The following is a 13,308-nucleotide window of genomic DNA, read 5'->3' as shown; positions in this document are numbered from 1 at the left end:
TCAGGCAAAAAGATACAGTGTGGTTCTTTCTGTAGCCCTTTTCCATAATGAAAGAAACAGATTCTGTCTTGTAGTTGGGTGGATTTTCCCAATCTACCGGGAGTTCAATCCATTTATAGCTAACATTAGGTCAAGGCCAGAGGGGCCATAGCCCTCGCAGTTGTCATTAGTGAGCTCTTATTTCTATTCCATTGAGAAGCTGAAATTGACAAACTGTCTAGGGAGATGTGCAGTTTCTAGCTGCCTGTTTTTGAGCAGAACGCATTAAGGATAGGTCACTTCTCATGGTAGAATTCCTCGTCATTAATCACTGAAAGACCAAATTCCTAGGTAAATAAGTAAACTCGTTGATAAAGCCACATCTTGATAGAAAATGTATCTTCTTGACATCCTCCTGTCTGCCAGCCTGGTCAGCAATGTTGCTGCCCACTCGGAACAGACTGCCTTGTTTAATTCTGTTGATGGAGATACACCACGGATCTGTGAAGATCTGAGTCGTAGCTGTTGCAGGAGGCCTGCTTTGATTTGTATACAATGTGAATAACTCTCTGTGTATTCAGAGTGCTGTAATTTTTTCTTCTTCTATGCCTACAGGGACTGGATTGCCTTATCAGGGTAAAGTTCATTCGGTAGGACTAACAATTAATCCCCTGTTCTTTCTGTTTCCTGCTTTCTTATCTGGTGGCTACATTATATACAAATTCCAGCATTTTTCATCACTATGCCACATAAAGCAGTTTGGAGATGCAAGCCATAAAAAGCTTATTTTTATAACCCCTCTAGAAAGAAAGCTGCTCAGATTCCATTTGAGTGAAAAAGGCATTCCATTTTGTGGCCATGTTTACATCTACTACCTAAACCAAGTTCTGGGAGAATGAGATGACCGGCTGTGACTGATGAGTCTCTATTGTCCAATAGAGTCAAAGAAAAGATGGTATATTTGTTAAAGCTATTCCCACTATCCATGAGCTTCCTGTACACACCACACTGTCTGTTTTGTTTCTCTTGCTTTATAACTTTTGAAACACAGAAATAAGATAGTCTGTAGAGGTTATCAACTCAAGATTCACATCCTTAACTGGATAGCAAATGTCTTACTAATTGAGGCATGTATTTAACTGGATTAAATCCAGTGGCTTGATGTTAGCATGCATTGCGGCCAAGTCTGCTGTCCTTTGATGAGAAGGGGCTTAGCTTTCTACAGCTGTGCAGTATGCGAGTCACGCACTCATCCTAGGGTACTGGCTTGCCGTAATTTCATTTGGGGACAGGGGAACATTGCAGCGTGATGAGCTGGGTAGGAGCTAAATATTTCACATGTAAGAAGGAATATTGTTCTAATTAAACTGAATGCGGTGCCCATGGCAAGATCTGCGCTTAATATATTTGGGTATGTGTGAAAAATTACATATATTTTTTATAAATTTGTCCCCACCCCATCCTTGACAAAAAGCTTTTGTTTTGGATATCATTTACCATAGAGGAATTATGTCATTAAAGGTATTTCATAGCACAATAAAATCTGAAGAGTTGTAACAGTTTCCCCAGCCCTTAAATGTTTTTCTTTAGAAAAGGGAAGAGTTCAGTTTTCACCTATAACTTGTAAAATGAAAGAACAAAATCTCTTTGCATTATCTAATACAGAATCTATTGTACAAATCCCTGGGGTTTTAACTGTTTTTCATTTAGAAAAGAAAAGCAATTATAGCATAAAGTAGATCTTGGATATTCAGGAGAAAATTGGGACTGTGTACAGGATAATTCCCCTTTCTTAGCCTGAAACTTTGCTCTTACATGGTCTTTGTGAAATATTTGGTTGGGGAGGAGGTGGGTAAAAATGTTAAGTATCTGATTTCACTTGACAACCCATTGGTAGGCATTGACTATACCCCCAAATCCATTTTTGCAACCTTGAAACGTCTACTTAATATATTACAATTAGAAATAAGTGCTAATGAGTCTAGTTTTCTGACTTATGGGTTGTTAAAGGGTCTGTCCACAAAGGGCTAGTGGAATGTGGGATTGGAGAGGATGACATTCTTAGGGACAGGATCGTCTTACCAGTGGTCTCTGAAGGTCTGACTCAACTGTCATCTTGATTTGGGTGATTCCCAAATCTGCAGCTTCACCCTTGAGCTCACTTGGAAAATGTAGTCCTACACACCATCCAGCTAGTGGAACACATTATCTACTTTTCCCTGCCCACGTCCTCCAGGCTTCCCATCTTCGGCAGTAAGTCCTAGTCCTCCAGACTCAATCTTGGCATTTTCCTTTATTCCCTCCATCCTCTCTCACCACCATTTTGTGATCAACCACATTGTATAAACTCCTTCCTTGTAATTCTAGGATCTGATCTTTCCTGTGGAGACTGCTGCTCCTCCCTCCCTGGTTCAGGCCAGCATTGACTTGCCTGGCAATGCTCCAGTAACCTCTTCGCTAGTCTTTTTACTTTCATGGTCCGCATTTCCCACCCTTATCACACAACATTCAGTCCTTCTTACAAACTTCTGTAGAATTGTTCTTCGTGGAATACACTGTGGAATGTGGTACCTCTTTACCCTGTTCCCTCTATACTCATCGACTTCTAACTACCTTCAGTCATTTTTCAACATCTATAGGATAAAGTCTCTATTTCTGGCTCTGGCATTCAGAACCCTCCATAGTAATGACAAAATAAGGCCCTTCTTCCTCTCTCTTAACTCCTACCAGTCCTTTCTGAAATATTCATATGATCTTTATTATGCCCTGCTCCTTATCCTAGTTATATGAAGACCTTTCTTATCTATCCTACTAAATCCTGAGTTGCTAGAGGTTAAGTTCTATTTCTTTTACTTGCTTATATCCACCACATACAATTCTAACAAACTGTGACTAGTAATAATGATAGCTTACATTTACTGAACATTTTCTATGTGCTAGTTACTGTTCGAAGTGTTTACATATTTTTTTCTCATCTTAGTTCACAGGGCGGGTATTATTATTCTTTCCCTTTATTACAGTGCACATGGAATTTAAAGAGGCAGAAATGATCACTTCTATGCAACATAATCAGGCAAGGTTTCATGGCAATCCACAGGATATAGTGGTGAGGGAATTTATTGTAGAGATAAGCTTCTCTGCAGGGGATGAAAATGTGATTGGGGAGGGGTGGGAATTACAGGATAGGTAGAGAGGGGCATGGTCATCGGAAGTTTGATACCAGGGATGGAAGAAACTGAGGATGAGGATGAATCTTGTATTAAGTACATTGGCAAGCAGTAGAGAAAGGAGTTCTGCAGAGATTTGTGCCTAGACCACTTGCTCAGTATTTAGCACAAATGGCTTCATATTCTTCTTTTTGTCTATTCTGTCTGTACAGCTAGATCCTAAGGTCCTTGATGAAAGGGAATGCAGTTTATTCTTTTTGGTAGTTTCAGCATTTAGTCTATACTAAATGCCTAGTCAGTGTCATTTGATGACGAGTATGAGAGGAAAAAATAAAAATATTACAAAAGGCAGTCTCTCCTCCATTAACAGAAGCCTTCTTCATGTGAACCAAGCATGAGGATGGCGTATAAAACCTATTTGGAGCAGGAACTTTATGAAGAATAGAAGAGCTTCTTTCCTCTCATCTTTCACAATTACTCGACCCTAGTAATTGTATTGTTTTAATCTCTGAATTCGATGAAGGGATTTATAACTAGCATTTCTACTAGTTAAGATCTGCTTTAATTTTGACATTTAGTGGAATAGTCCCCATAATTTCACTGGACTGTAGATTATTGTTGTTATTATTATTAATGATAGTGTTCTGCACATTCTGTTGTTGTTAAAGAAGAAAGCATACCCTACTCTTTAGCATGCATTTCAGGGAGCTGTGAGCCCTGTGTATTTTGTCAAGCCATGGCTTTCATCGAGTCTCCGTAACAACATTAGAGCTTGGTGGTTGATGTGAGCTTTCAGGGTATCAATGCTGCATAATAATACTAATAGGCAAAACAAAACAGAAACTTGTAGGAGCAAAAGATGTTGCTATGGCTTACTTTGTGGTGGGGCATTGTGTTGCTGGTCAGCAATATGTTCCCGTCTACTCAAGCTGGCTTTTGGCTACCAACTGTGAGATGTTTCGTTGCTGACAAGCCTTCCCCATTCTGTATTTTGCCCTCGGGCTCGCAATTTACTGGATGCAATCTTGTTGAGAAAATGTGGTCTTTATTAGTGTTCGGCACAGATCGACTTTTCTTTTTCCGCTTCTGCAGAGCTAGTGGGATGCTTGGTGCAGGGAAGAAACAGGGGACAGATGACAGTATGAGGGCAGGAAAATAAGGGTTTTCGGGTGCTGAGAACCAGAATGCTGGCTTAGTGTAGAGATGATTGGAGCAGCATCTAGGGTAGAAACAGCTTATTTGTACCCACGGGGCTTTTGGCAGCATTCTAATCAACAACTAATTGTCAGAGAAAGATATTTGTCAATAAAAATACTTGTAAGTTAGTTTTTAGGTACATGACAAATAAGGAAACTTAATTGTATAAGACAGTTCTTGCCCTCCAGAGTTTTATGATGTAATGAGAACACAAAAATAACATTGATGCTCCCCAAATCACCATGAATATGTATGGCTTTACATACAATATTTTATTTTTCACTGTGAGGATCTGTGCGTGTATTCTTGTGTATATTTTTCTATCTGTCTCCACGCCGCTTTGTCTGTTGACTTGGCTCTGTTTCATTCATCTAATGTATTCTACAAAGAGATTTGTGAGTGGCATGCTGCAGCTACCTCTTTTCCTTCTCCCATATGCTGTCTCTTTAACAAATGCCCACACATGTGACTTTCCCCCTCCTAATCCTGATGGTGCCTATTGTTTTAAGCAGTTCCTCGATTTATAGGTGTTACTGGGTAGCTTTTTAAGCACAAATACAAATGCATTGCAAGTGGAAATTAAATGCCAGAGCATCTGTGAAAAATGTAAATCATAGTCATTTAAAATAGTCATTCTATGAAGAATTGTAGAGATGCGAAATTAATAAATACTAGTATAAGCATTAAATATTCACTGCCTGCTACTTCTGAAATGGTACAACAGCATCATTTTTTAATGATGGGTAATGATAAAACACATCAATTTTAAATAACCTGTTTTCTCCTTTTCTCCTTCTGAAGCTATGAGTTGGCAAGCTTGAAATTAAATACAAGTAATGGTAATAACTAAGCTTCTGTTAACCTTAGTCATGGAATAGACACATTTTTGTGTTTCCTGGATGTTCTGTGGCTATTTGAAAAGACTAGTAAATTGAAAATTGCAGCTAATGGGACCAGCTTGAATTTAAAGAAAAAAATATGTCTCCGTTAGTGGAAAACAGGAAACGTGGAACCTTAAGTAGCAAGCGCACCATTATCCTCTAACGCATTCTTATTTTTCTCCTTATTAAGGCTTACTGGGTCCTCTTAGAGAAGTTAAAATGAACCTTTAACTAAGATACATTTCTATTCCCTCCCCTCCAACCCCTCTAAAATCTCTTAAAAACACCTTTATTTTTAGTTATGCTTCACTAGTTCTTTAATAAGTTACTTGCAAAATACAAGAGTAGAATTAAAGAGCCAACAATTATATCTTGAATTCATGTGTCCCTATGCTACCAAAGAACTGTGTACACCTTTTATCTTCAATCTTATATGCCATACAAATGGAATTGACAGAAATTTTTCTCTCTATTTCATAGATGGGAAACAGTAAAGCATCTATCTCCTAAGGTCACGTTGTAAAGCATGTTACGAGTTTATGTGTCCTAAGATGGGGAAGGGCAGGATGTTGTGAGTCGCGAGCCTGTCTAGGGAGGTTGGAGTGAGGTAAGGCCTCCTGAAGGAAATCGCACCTGCACTGAGATCTGAAAAATGAGTTGGAATTGATTGGGCAGCCAAGGGGTGAGAAAGACGTGGGCGAGAGGAGGACATGGGTGAGAGGACGTGAGCGAGAGGAGGTAGGCATAGAGAAATGACTGTATGTGGCTCCCACGGGGAGGGGCCATGCCATGCTGTTAGTGGGCCTGATTCTGGGCAGTGGCGCAATGTGGGGAAGGATTTTTGTGAAATTGAAAGGAGTGGGTTTTCCCAAGTTTTTCCATGCTCATTTTTTCTCTTGAGCTGGTTAAGAAAATGGCATGACCATTTAGAGTGGCTGAAATGTAATCCTGATTGCAGACCTCAGTTACCTCAACTGAAAATACCATGGCAGCAAACGGCCTTGAGACAAATTCGTGGGAAGGGACTTTGTAGAGGACCCAGGGCAGGAGTCAAGATGGGGCCAAAAGGAGAGCGCTTATGGTGAAAGCAGGACAGATCTGGGGGAAGACACAAGATCTGAACTTCTGATGTCATTGCGGGGTCCTGGGCTGCCACCCCACCCAAGAAATACCGGTATTTATAGATATCTAAAGCATCCAGCCTGTAAAGAAAGATATAATGAAGTTATTAATCCTATGAGGACTATATAAAATCAAAATCTCGTCCTGTGGTTCTACCTTCTTTACTACACGTTCAAGAGCTAGTGATTATTTCTCCCAGTTTTCGTTGTTGCTGTTGTCTTGTCTCCCCCAGTTTTTAAGCACCGTGCTGCAAAGGCCAGGAGTGGCTCTGACAGAAACATTGCCAATGGCATTATTACCCTGGACCATTGTCAAGATTTTGTATTAACAAGTTGTATGAAACTGAAATGCGGACAAGGGAAGAAGTAGACTTTTTTAAGCCCAGCCATTTTGTTTTTCAAGGGACAAATCTCCCTGGGCGATAACTACCAGATTGATGGGGATAGTGAAATGGCACTCAGAAAGGAGAACTGTTAACACAGTGTGCGGGCAGAGCCTGGTGCTCGTGCTTAAGCACCTGTGCCATTCCGTGATTCAGAGCAAGAAATAGGAAACAAACCCCTGTTGTCTAAAGGGAACCTAGCAGGAATAGTCTCTGTGTTTCCATTTGAACAGAACTCCATTAAGAGATTACTAACTAAGAAGCACTAAGATTTGTGGTTGAATAAGCAATTGAAATCAAACCCTAAAGCTTATCTAGATGAATTCACATGCTCCTTTACCTGCAGAAGTTGGCTGGAATTATGCACACCTTATGTCAATGTTGAAAAGCATCGGGTAGGAAGTGTGATTTTCAGGGAGGAAAATAGATCTTGAAACCCACCAAAATGTACTGTGGTTGGGGGACTTTTCTGGAGAGAACACAACTTCTATTTAATGGGTATGAAGACCAACACTCTAGTATGTAATGTCAGTGTGTGTTTACTGTGACACTCCTTTGTCATGTATCTTCAAAGATGGCATTGAATTTATCATGAGCTATAGCCATCTCATTCTTTCTCCAGGCGATGTTTTGATAAATGTTGATGAGTTTATAACTGTAAAACCAAATGACATTTATAGTGTGATACACACTTTACCCATTGCATAATTATATCTAATGGCTTCGCATGTAGAAAGGCATTTACCATTTGCTTTTGTATAAAATGACAATCTAAACCCCAGGGCTAAATTTTTTTTTTTAAACACGATGATAAAGACTTAATTAAGAACCAAATACAATTTATTTTTGTAACTGGCATTTAAGGTACCTAGTTCTTTGGTTAAATATGTGATAAAAATCATGATACTTCTAGTAACAAAGATCAGTGGGTTTCATTTATTTCCCTCTGTCTGAAATATTGGTGAACTCACTTAATTATCGAACTGATATCTGGTATGACTTCTTGTTTCTCATTTCTAGCTAAAAGAGCTATTTTGAAAGGTAGCACAGAATCGAATAATGTGTTCAGTTAATGAGGAACATTTAAGAGATGTTTCTGAATTTAATATGATGGAAAAAAAATAAACCACCACTGTAGTATAGACATTCTTTATCTAGACAGTGATGATGTCTTAGGCCTCTTGGTTGTGGTCAAGCAAGGTTTTATTTTTAGCCATTTAGACATTTTGGAATGTTTATCATCATACAGTAGGTCACTTAATAGATCAAAACAGTTTTATTCTTAGTCTTCATGTCAGAAATAGCTCTTAGTATCTTGTTAGGATATCTACTGTGTTCATGTGTGACGACTAAGTAGCTTTCTTGGAAACAAGTCTGCTGTTGTAGTAGGTTTATCTTTCTGACCCGGTATTGACCCTACCTGCCCTGACATTGACGGCCTCTGATCAGCCTACCAATGAGCAGAAGTTAAAGTTGTTCTCTCTGTCTGCCTTTCCATGGTAAAAACTTCACGTCGTTGCTTTTTTTTTAAATTTTTTTATTATACTTTAAGTTTTAGGGTACATGTGCACATTGTGCAGGTTAGTTACATACGTATACATGTGCCATGCTGGTGTGCTGCACCCACTAACTCGTCATCTAGCATTAGGTGTATCTCCCAATGCTATCCCTCCCCCCTCCCCCCACCCCACAACAGTCCCCAGAGTGTGATGTTCCCCTTTCTTTACAGGAAATAAAACTAGATCGAAATAGGTCTCTTCTCAAGTGTTTCATCGTAGAAATAATCTTATTTTGAGTCTCAATATTTCTGAAAAATACGGAATTATTTGTGAATAACATGAAGTTTGTCCTCTTCAAATTGCTAATGTTAGATCCTATTAAAAATCTAAGCCTCATGGAATGCTGGAGAGTTAAAAGTTTGTTTTTGTTTGTTTGTTTGAGGTTAAACTCATAATAATCTAGCTGTATACTAGTTAGGTCTAACTGATTAAACTAATGTTTTTTTTCTTTTAAAATATGAAAACAGTTTTTATATACACCTGAATAAATGTGGAACTCATTACTATTAGATAATAAGCAAAAAAAAAATCTGTTCATCTTAGCTCAAAAATCAAGAGTAGAGTGTTCACTGATTTCTGAACTTGAATGCACAATTTGGAGAAATGTTGCAACTGAGTATAATCCTTTGGCTAAGAGGCTTAATAGAAATGAGAAATGCATTGACCACAATTAAAACACAGAACTGAGATTCTTGCTTGTGTCTGAGGTCGGGATTTTAATAATGCATCTGTGAACTGCTTTCTTTTGCCTTTAACAAAATTATAGAGCAATGGTCTTTGCAAGTTCCTAAAAAAAAAAAAATCTATAATGAACCAGAAAAAGTGATATTAAACTAACATTTAAGACCTTCCAGAGAGATTGCAGAATTTATTGGAAGAAGGAACAGAGTAATTTTCTGTGTAAGAGTGATTAGGAAGAACCATTTTCATGCTTTTAGTCTGGGACAGGTGGTATAGATTAATGTTGAATACATACAAAATCTATTGAGACTAATTAAAGATGCATATCCACATGGAATACCACATCTCAGTGGATCTTTGGCTGCCTATCCAACAAGCACATGTAGTGTTTATACCAAGCATTTTTCAAATTTAGCCAAGAATAGTACCAGTGAAACTTCTGAAAACTGCCCTGAAAATCCTTAGTCTCTTTGTATTATAAAGTCTCTCTTGAGAATTTCTACCTCCAATAAATGCTTCTTGGAATAGAAAAGATTGTAACCTGTGTTCATCTATAATGGGCACAAATATTATATAGCAATATAGAGTATTAGTTGACTGTACTGATCAAAATCCTAGGCTGGGCGCGGTGGCTCACGCCTGTAATCCCAGCACTTTGGGAGGCCGAGGCGGGTGGATCACAAGGTCGGGAGATCGAGACCATCCTGGCTAACACGGTGAAACCGTGTCTCTACTAAAAATACAAAAAATTAGCTGGGCGTGGTTGTAGGCGCCTGTAGTCCCAGCTACTCGGGAGGCTGAGGCAGGAGAGTGGCATGAACCCGGGAGGCAGAGCTTGCAGTGAGCCGAGATGGCACCACTGCCCTCTAGCCTGGGCGACAGAGTGACACTCTGTCTCAAAAACAACAACAACAACAACAAAACAACAACAACAACATAAACTATATACAGAGCTTCAATTTAAGTATTTGGCAGTGGCTATAAGAATGAACTTGACCCTTTACTTCCTGAGAGGGCATCCATTTCTAACCTGATGCTTAGCCTGATAAAGATGAAGCTGTACTAAGGACCTATCTCGGATGTTTAATCCAGGAGAGTGAATTAACACATCAGTCCCTAAGCCTCTGTCCCTCATCCAGGTTGGCTTAATACCCTTTGGTGACTTGATTGCTTCTTACAAATGCTAATGAACAGTTCACTTTGACACTGTACACAAACACAATCTGGTGGTTGTGTTGAGATGTTTTTCATACTGCTAATGAATAAACTCCCAGTGGTTCACAGTTAGCTGAAATAAGCAGTGACTTGAGGTAGATCCCAAAAGTGATTTATTAACCATGTTGTAAACCAAGTGGACTGGATTTTAGAGAAAGTGGGAATGTTCTCTTGAATTCAAGGGCCAAAGTAAGAAGGATATTTTAAATAAACGAGCTTAATAACCTTAGATATTATTCCATACCAACGTTTTTATTGGGAGTGGGGGTGAGAGTTGGGAATATGTACAGGGAGATAAGAATGCCCATTTATCATTTAACAGAAGAGGTATCAACATTTGTCTGTAAAGCTTTCTTTTTAATAAACATTGAATTGGAGCTTTGCTGGGCCATCAGCTATCCAGTCAGTGATGGGCTTCAAAGAGGCCACTCTTTCCTTCCTTTTAAGGTTTTCACCAATAAAGCAAATCCTGTAGTTGCAACAAGAATAAGAAGGAAATGTTCTGGAAGAAAAGGGGAGGGGGTGCCCAGAAGTTATGGGGAATAGATTGATATTTATAGACATCAGCAATGGTCTGTTACCAACATTTATAACTCCAACAGTAGCAGATTGAGGGCTGAATCAACATTTTTCCCCCTCTGTAAAATAATAAATATGGTAAAGTAGCTCTCAGAACTGCCTTTATCATAGGGATAAATCAGGACAGTTTGTGTTGCAGGAGAGACTTAAAACTTATAAATATGTTGCCCTTTAGGCTACTATTCATCAAAGTGTCTGATATGAAATCTAGACTAAAGGCTTTTGTTATTGTGTGTCTGCGTATTCTCTTTTAGAAGTCTAAATTGGAAAGAGCGCTGTCATTTTGGTCATACTGGCCTGCTGTGCTACTTAAATGCATGTCCCTTTTGGGATGTATTTGAAGAGAAGGAAATAGTGGGAGTTGACGCCTGCACACTTTTACACAAATCCTCTTCGTCGCCTAAACCTTCCTTGCAGAGGGCATAATTTCCAGCAGGAAAAATTCAGTAAATAACCGCTTGACAAATGACCTATTTTGGTGCAGTCAACTTTCTTCCTAAGACACCGGAGTAGAGAGGTTGTTCTTAAAAGCCTCATCAAATCCAGAGGGACGTAGCTTTCCTTCTTGGTGCTCCAATTCAAATGTATACAAATAGGCATGGCTAAAGATTCTTTCAGTTTGCAGAGGGAAAGCATATCAGGCTAGTGACAGATGCTTTAAGTCACATGACTTGATGGGTATTATGGTATATGAAATCTCATATAACTTTGCAATTCTGATCTGAATTTCCTGGCTTCTGTGGTTTGGAGTCAGAGTTGAAGCTCCAACCCTGTCCTCTACTCCCCTTGGTGCCTTTAAATGTTGAATCACGTATGGTGTATGGAATCACCTGCTGTTTGGAGGCCCCCACAGAGTATGTACTGAGCAGTTTTCCTTTTTTAATGTGTAGTACAGCTCCTAGTTTTCAAGAATAACTAATTGGGAGCATAAACCTCATTTTGTCCTTGAATGGTTTGCAATTCAGGAGTCCTGAATAACGGAAATGGAGGGCCTACAAAGAGGGCATCGAAGCGTGCTGCAGTTTGATAATTTGCCCACTTGGCTTGGGTAAGCTGCTGGTGTGGAATTGCTCTGGGAAGAAACAGCAGACTCTCTCAGGTCGGTAGCTTGTCTCTGATGTTGATTTGGGGGAATTTAGAGAGTTGGGGAACTCTGATGACCCCTTGGGGCCTCTATCCTGCCATGTGTGTTTTCACAAGAGCAAGTGTGGGCCACTGGGTTAGTCTGGATTTGCTTGAATGACAGCATGTGGATTGTACACTTAGATTGGAGCGCTGAAGTTGCACCAGGCCACACTCATTTATAGAAACCATTGTTCCTGGGAGTCCAGTCTAGAAGCTATGGCCGAGGAGAGAAATACTTCGAACTATGGGATCCAAAAAGCCCACTGGTCCCTATGTGACACCCAAGCATGTTTACCTCCTGCTGGGCCACGTAGCCAACCAGAAGAGCGCAATATGGTGATGTCAAGTTCCACCTGTGTGTCGAACTGAAAAGACGGCAGCTCTGCAGCCCCACTCATTCTGTTGAGGTGGTGGCAGTTTGACTTGCCAAGTCAAATTCCTTGTACTCTGTACAAGTCAGAATGCCCAACCTTATCACTGGTAACTGACTCTAAAGAGGGGCTCAGGAACGGGAGAGCACAGGTTTTCTCTTTATCAGATGCCTTTAAAGCCGCTTCGCAGCACATCCCTGTGATTGCTAACACCATTATGAAGATTGACAGTTTCATCAAGAAAGCAAAGAAGAAAATCTGCAGGCAATAAATGGAGGCAGTGCTGGGCCCTGCTCTGGTTACCCTCAATAGTGCTTCCAGAGCACTGAGCTGGGGTAGGGTCCTTTCCCTGCTTCAAGGACCTGTGGCTTTTTTTATTGAGCACAGAGCCTGAGAACTTCTGTGGCCCTTTTCCTAGTACAAATAGGTAGCTTTAAGACTTAATGAGGAGAAATCTGAAGAGTGCAGATAGAGATTTGGTTGTGGTGGTGAGGATTGGTTTTTTCCTTGCCTGAAAAGGATGACCTGAAAACAAGCCTCTAGCATTGTCCAGCAACCTTTCCACCTCACAGGCTGAAATGCATATCCCAAAGTCTGCAAATACTTTAGTACAGTGGCCAAACTGAAGAAGCTCAAGTGTAAAAAATCAAGAATGTTCTTCTAAGGACACAGAATATCTCTGAATTGTTAGTAGTTATCTATAGCTAATAATTCTGGGCACTCTCTTACCCCAAGCCAGCTGCGTCACAAATATGTGGGCTGTTGGCTACAAGGCCAGTGGTGTGAATGATTCAATGCAAACCCATCAACACTACTGGAAAAACAATTCTTCGTAAAGACTTACTGGAGATGATTCAGTGCCATCATCAGCAGAAGCGAGCAGCTGTGTGAAACCACTGCTTCTCTGAGCCTGGGATGTGTTAACGATATATTCTCAGAAGTAAATAATCCTTTTGCTAACAAGACGAACCCTATTTACTCACTTTCATTCCCTTGAGGTTTGAATTCAGCCCGGTGACCGTGTCATAAATATCATTCTGACCTCCAAGG

General features: G+C 39.9%; 1 protein-coding gene across 7 annotated transcripts in view, besides 1 other annotated feature; it reads left to right on the top strand.

The window, feature by feature from the left end:
- Window positions 1-13,308, top strand: part of CADM1 (cell adhesion molecule 1) — a 335,180-nt gene that overhangs the window by 223,249 nt on the left and 98,623 nt on the right. The gene's annotated exons all lie outside the window — the stretch shown is intronic.
- Window positions 9,839-10,340: an enhancer, noted in NCBI's record as "NANOG hESC enhancer chr11:115141547-115142048 (GRCh37/hg19 assembly coordinates)". NCBI's record gives its function as "activates a minimal SCP1, AML or CMV promoter by ChIP-STARR-seq in naive H9 embryonic stem cells {active_cell/tissue: H9 hESC(naive)}" and the evidence as "EXISTENCE:reporter gene assay evidence [ECO:0000049][PMID:30033119]".

The sequence above is a fragment of the Homo sapiens genome, chromosome 11, assembly GCF_000001405.40.
Source record: "Homo sapiens chromosome 11, GRCh38.p14 Primary Assembly".
NCBI classification, from domain to species: domain Eukaryota; kingdom Metazoa; phylum Chordata; class Mammalia; order Primates; family Hominidae; genus Homo; species Homo sapiens.
The sequence above is the reverse complement of the archived record's forward strand: the minus strand, read 5'-3'. Positions and strand labels throughout refer to the sequence as shown.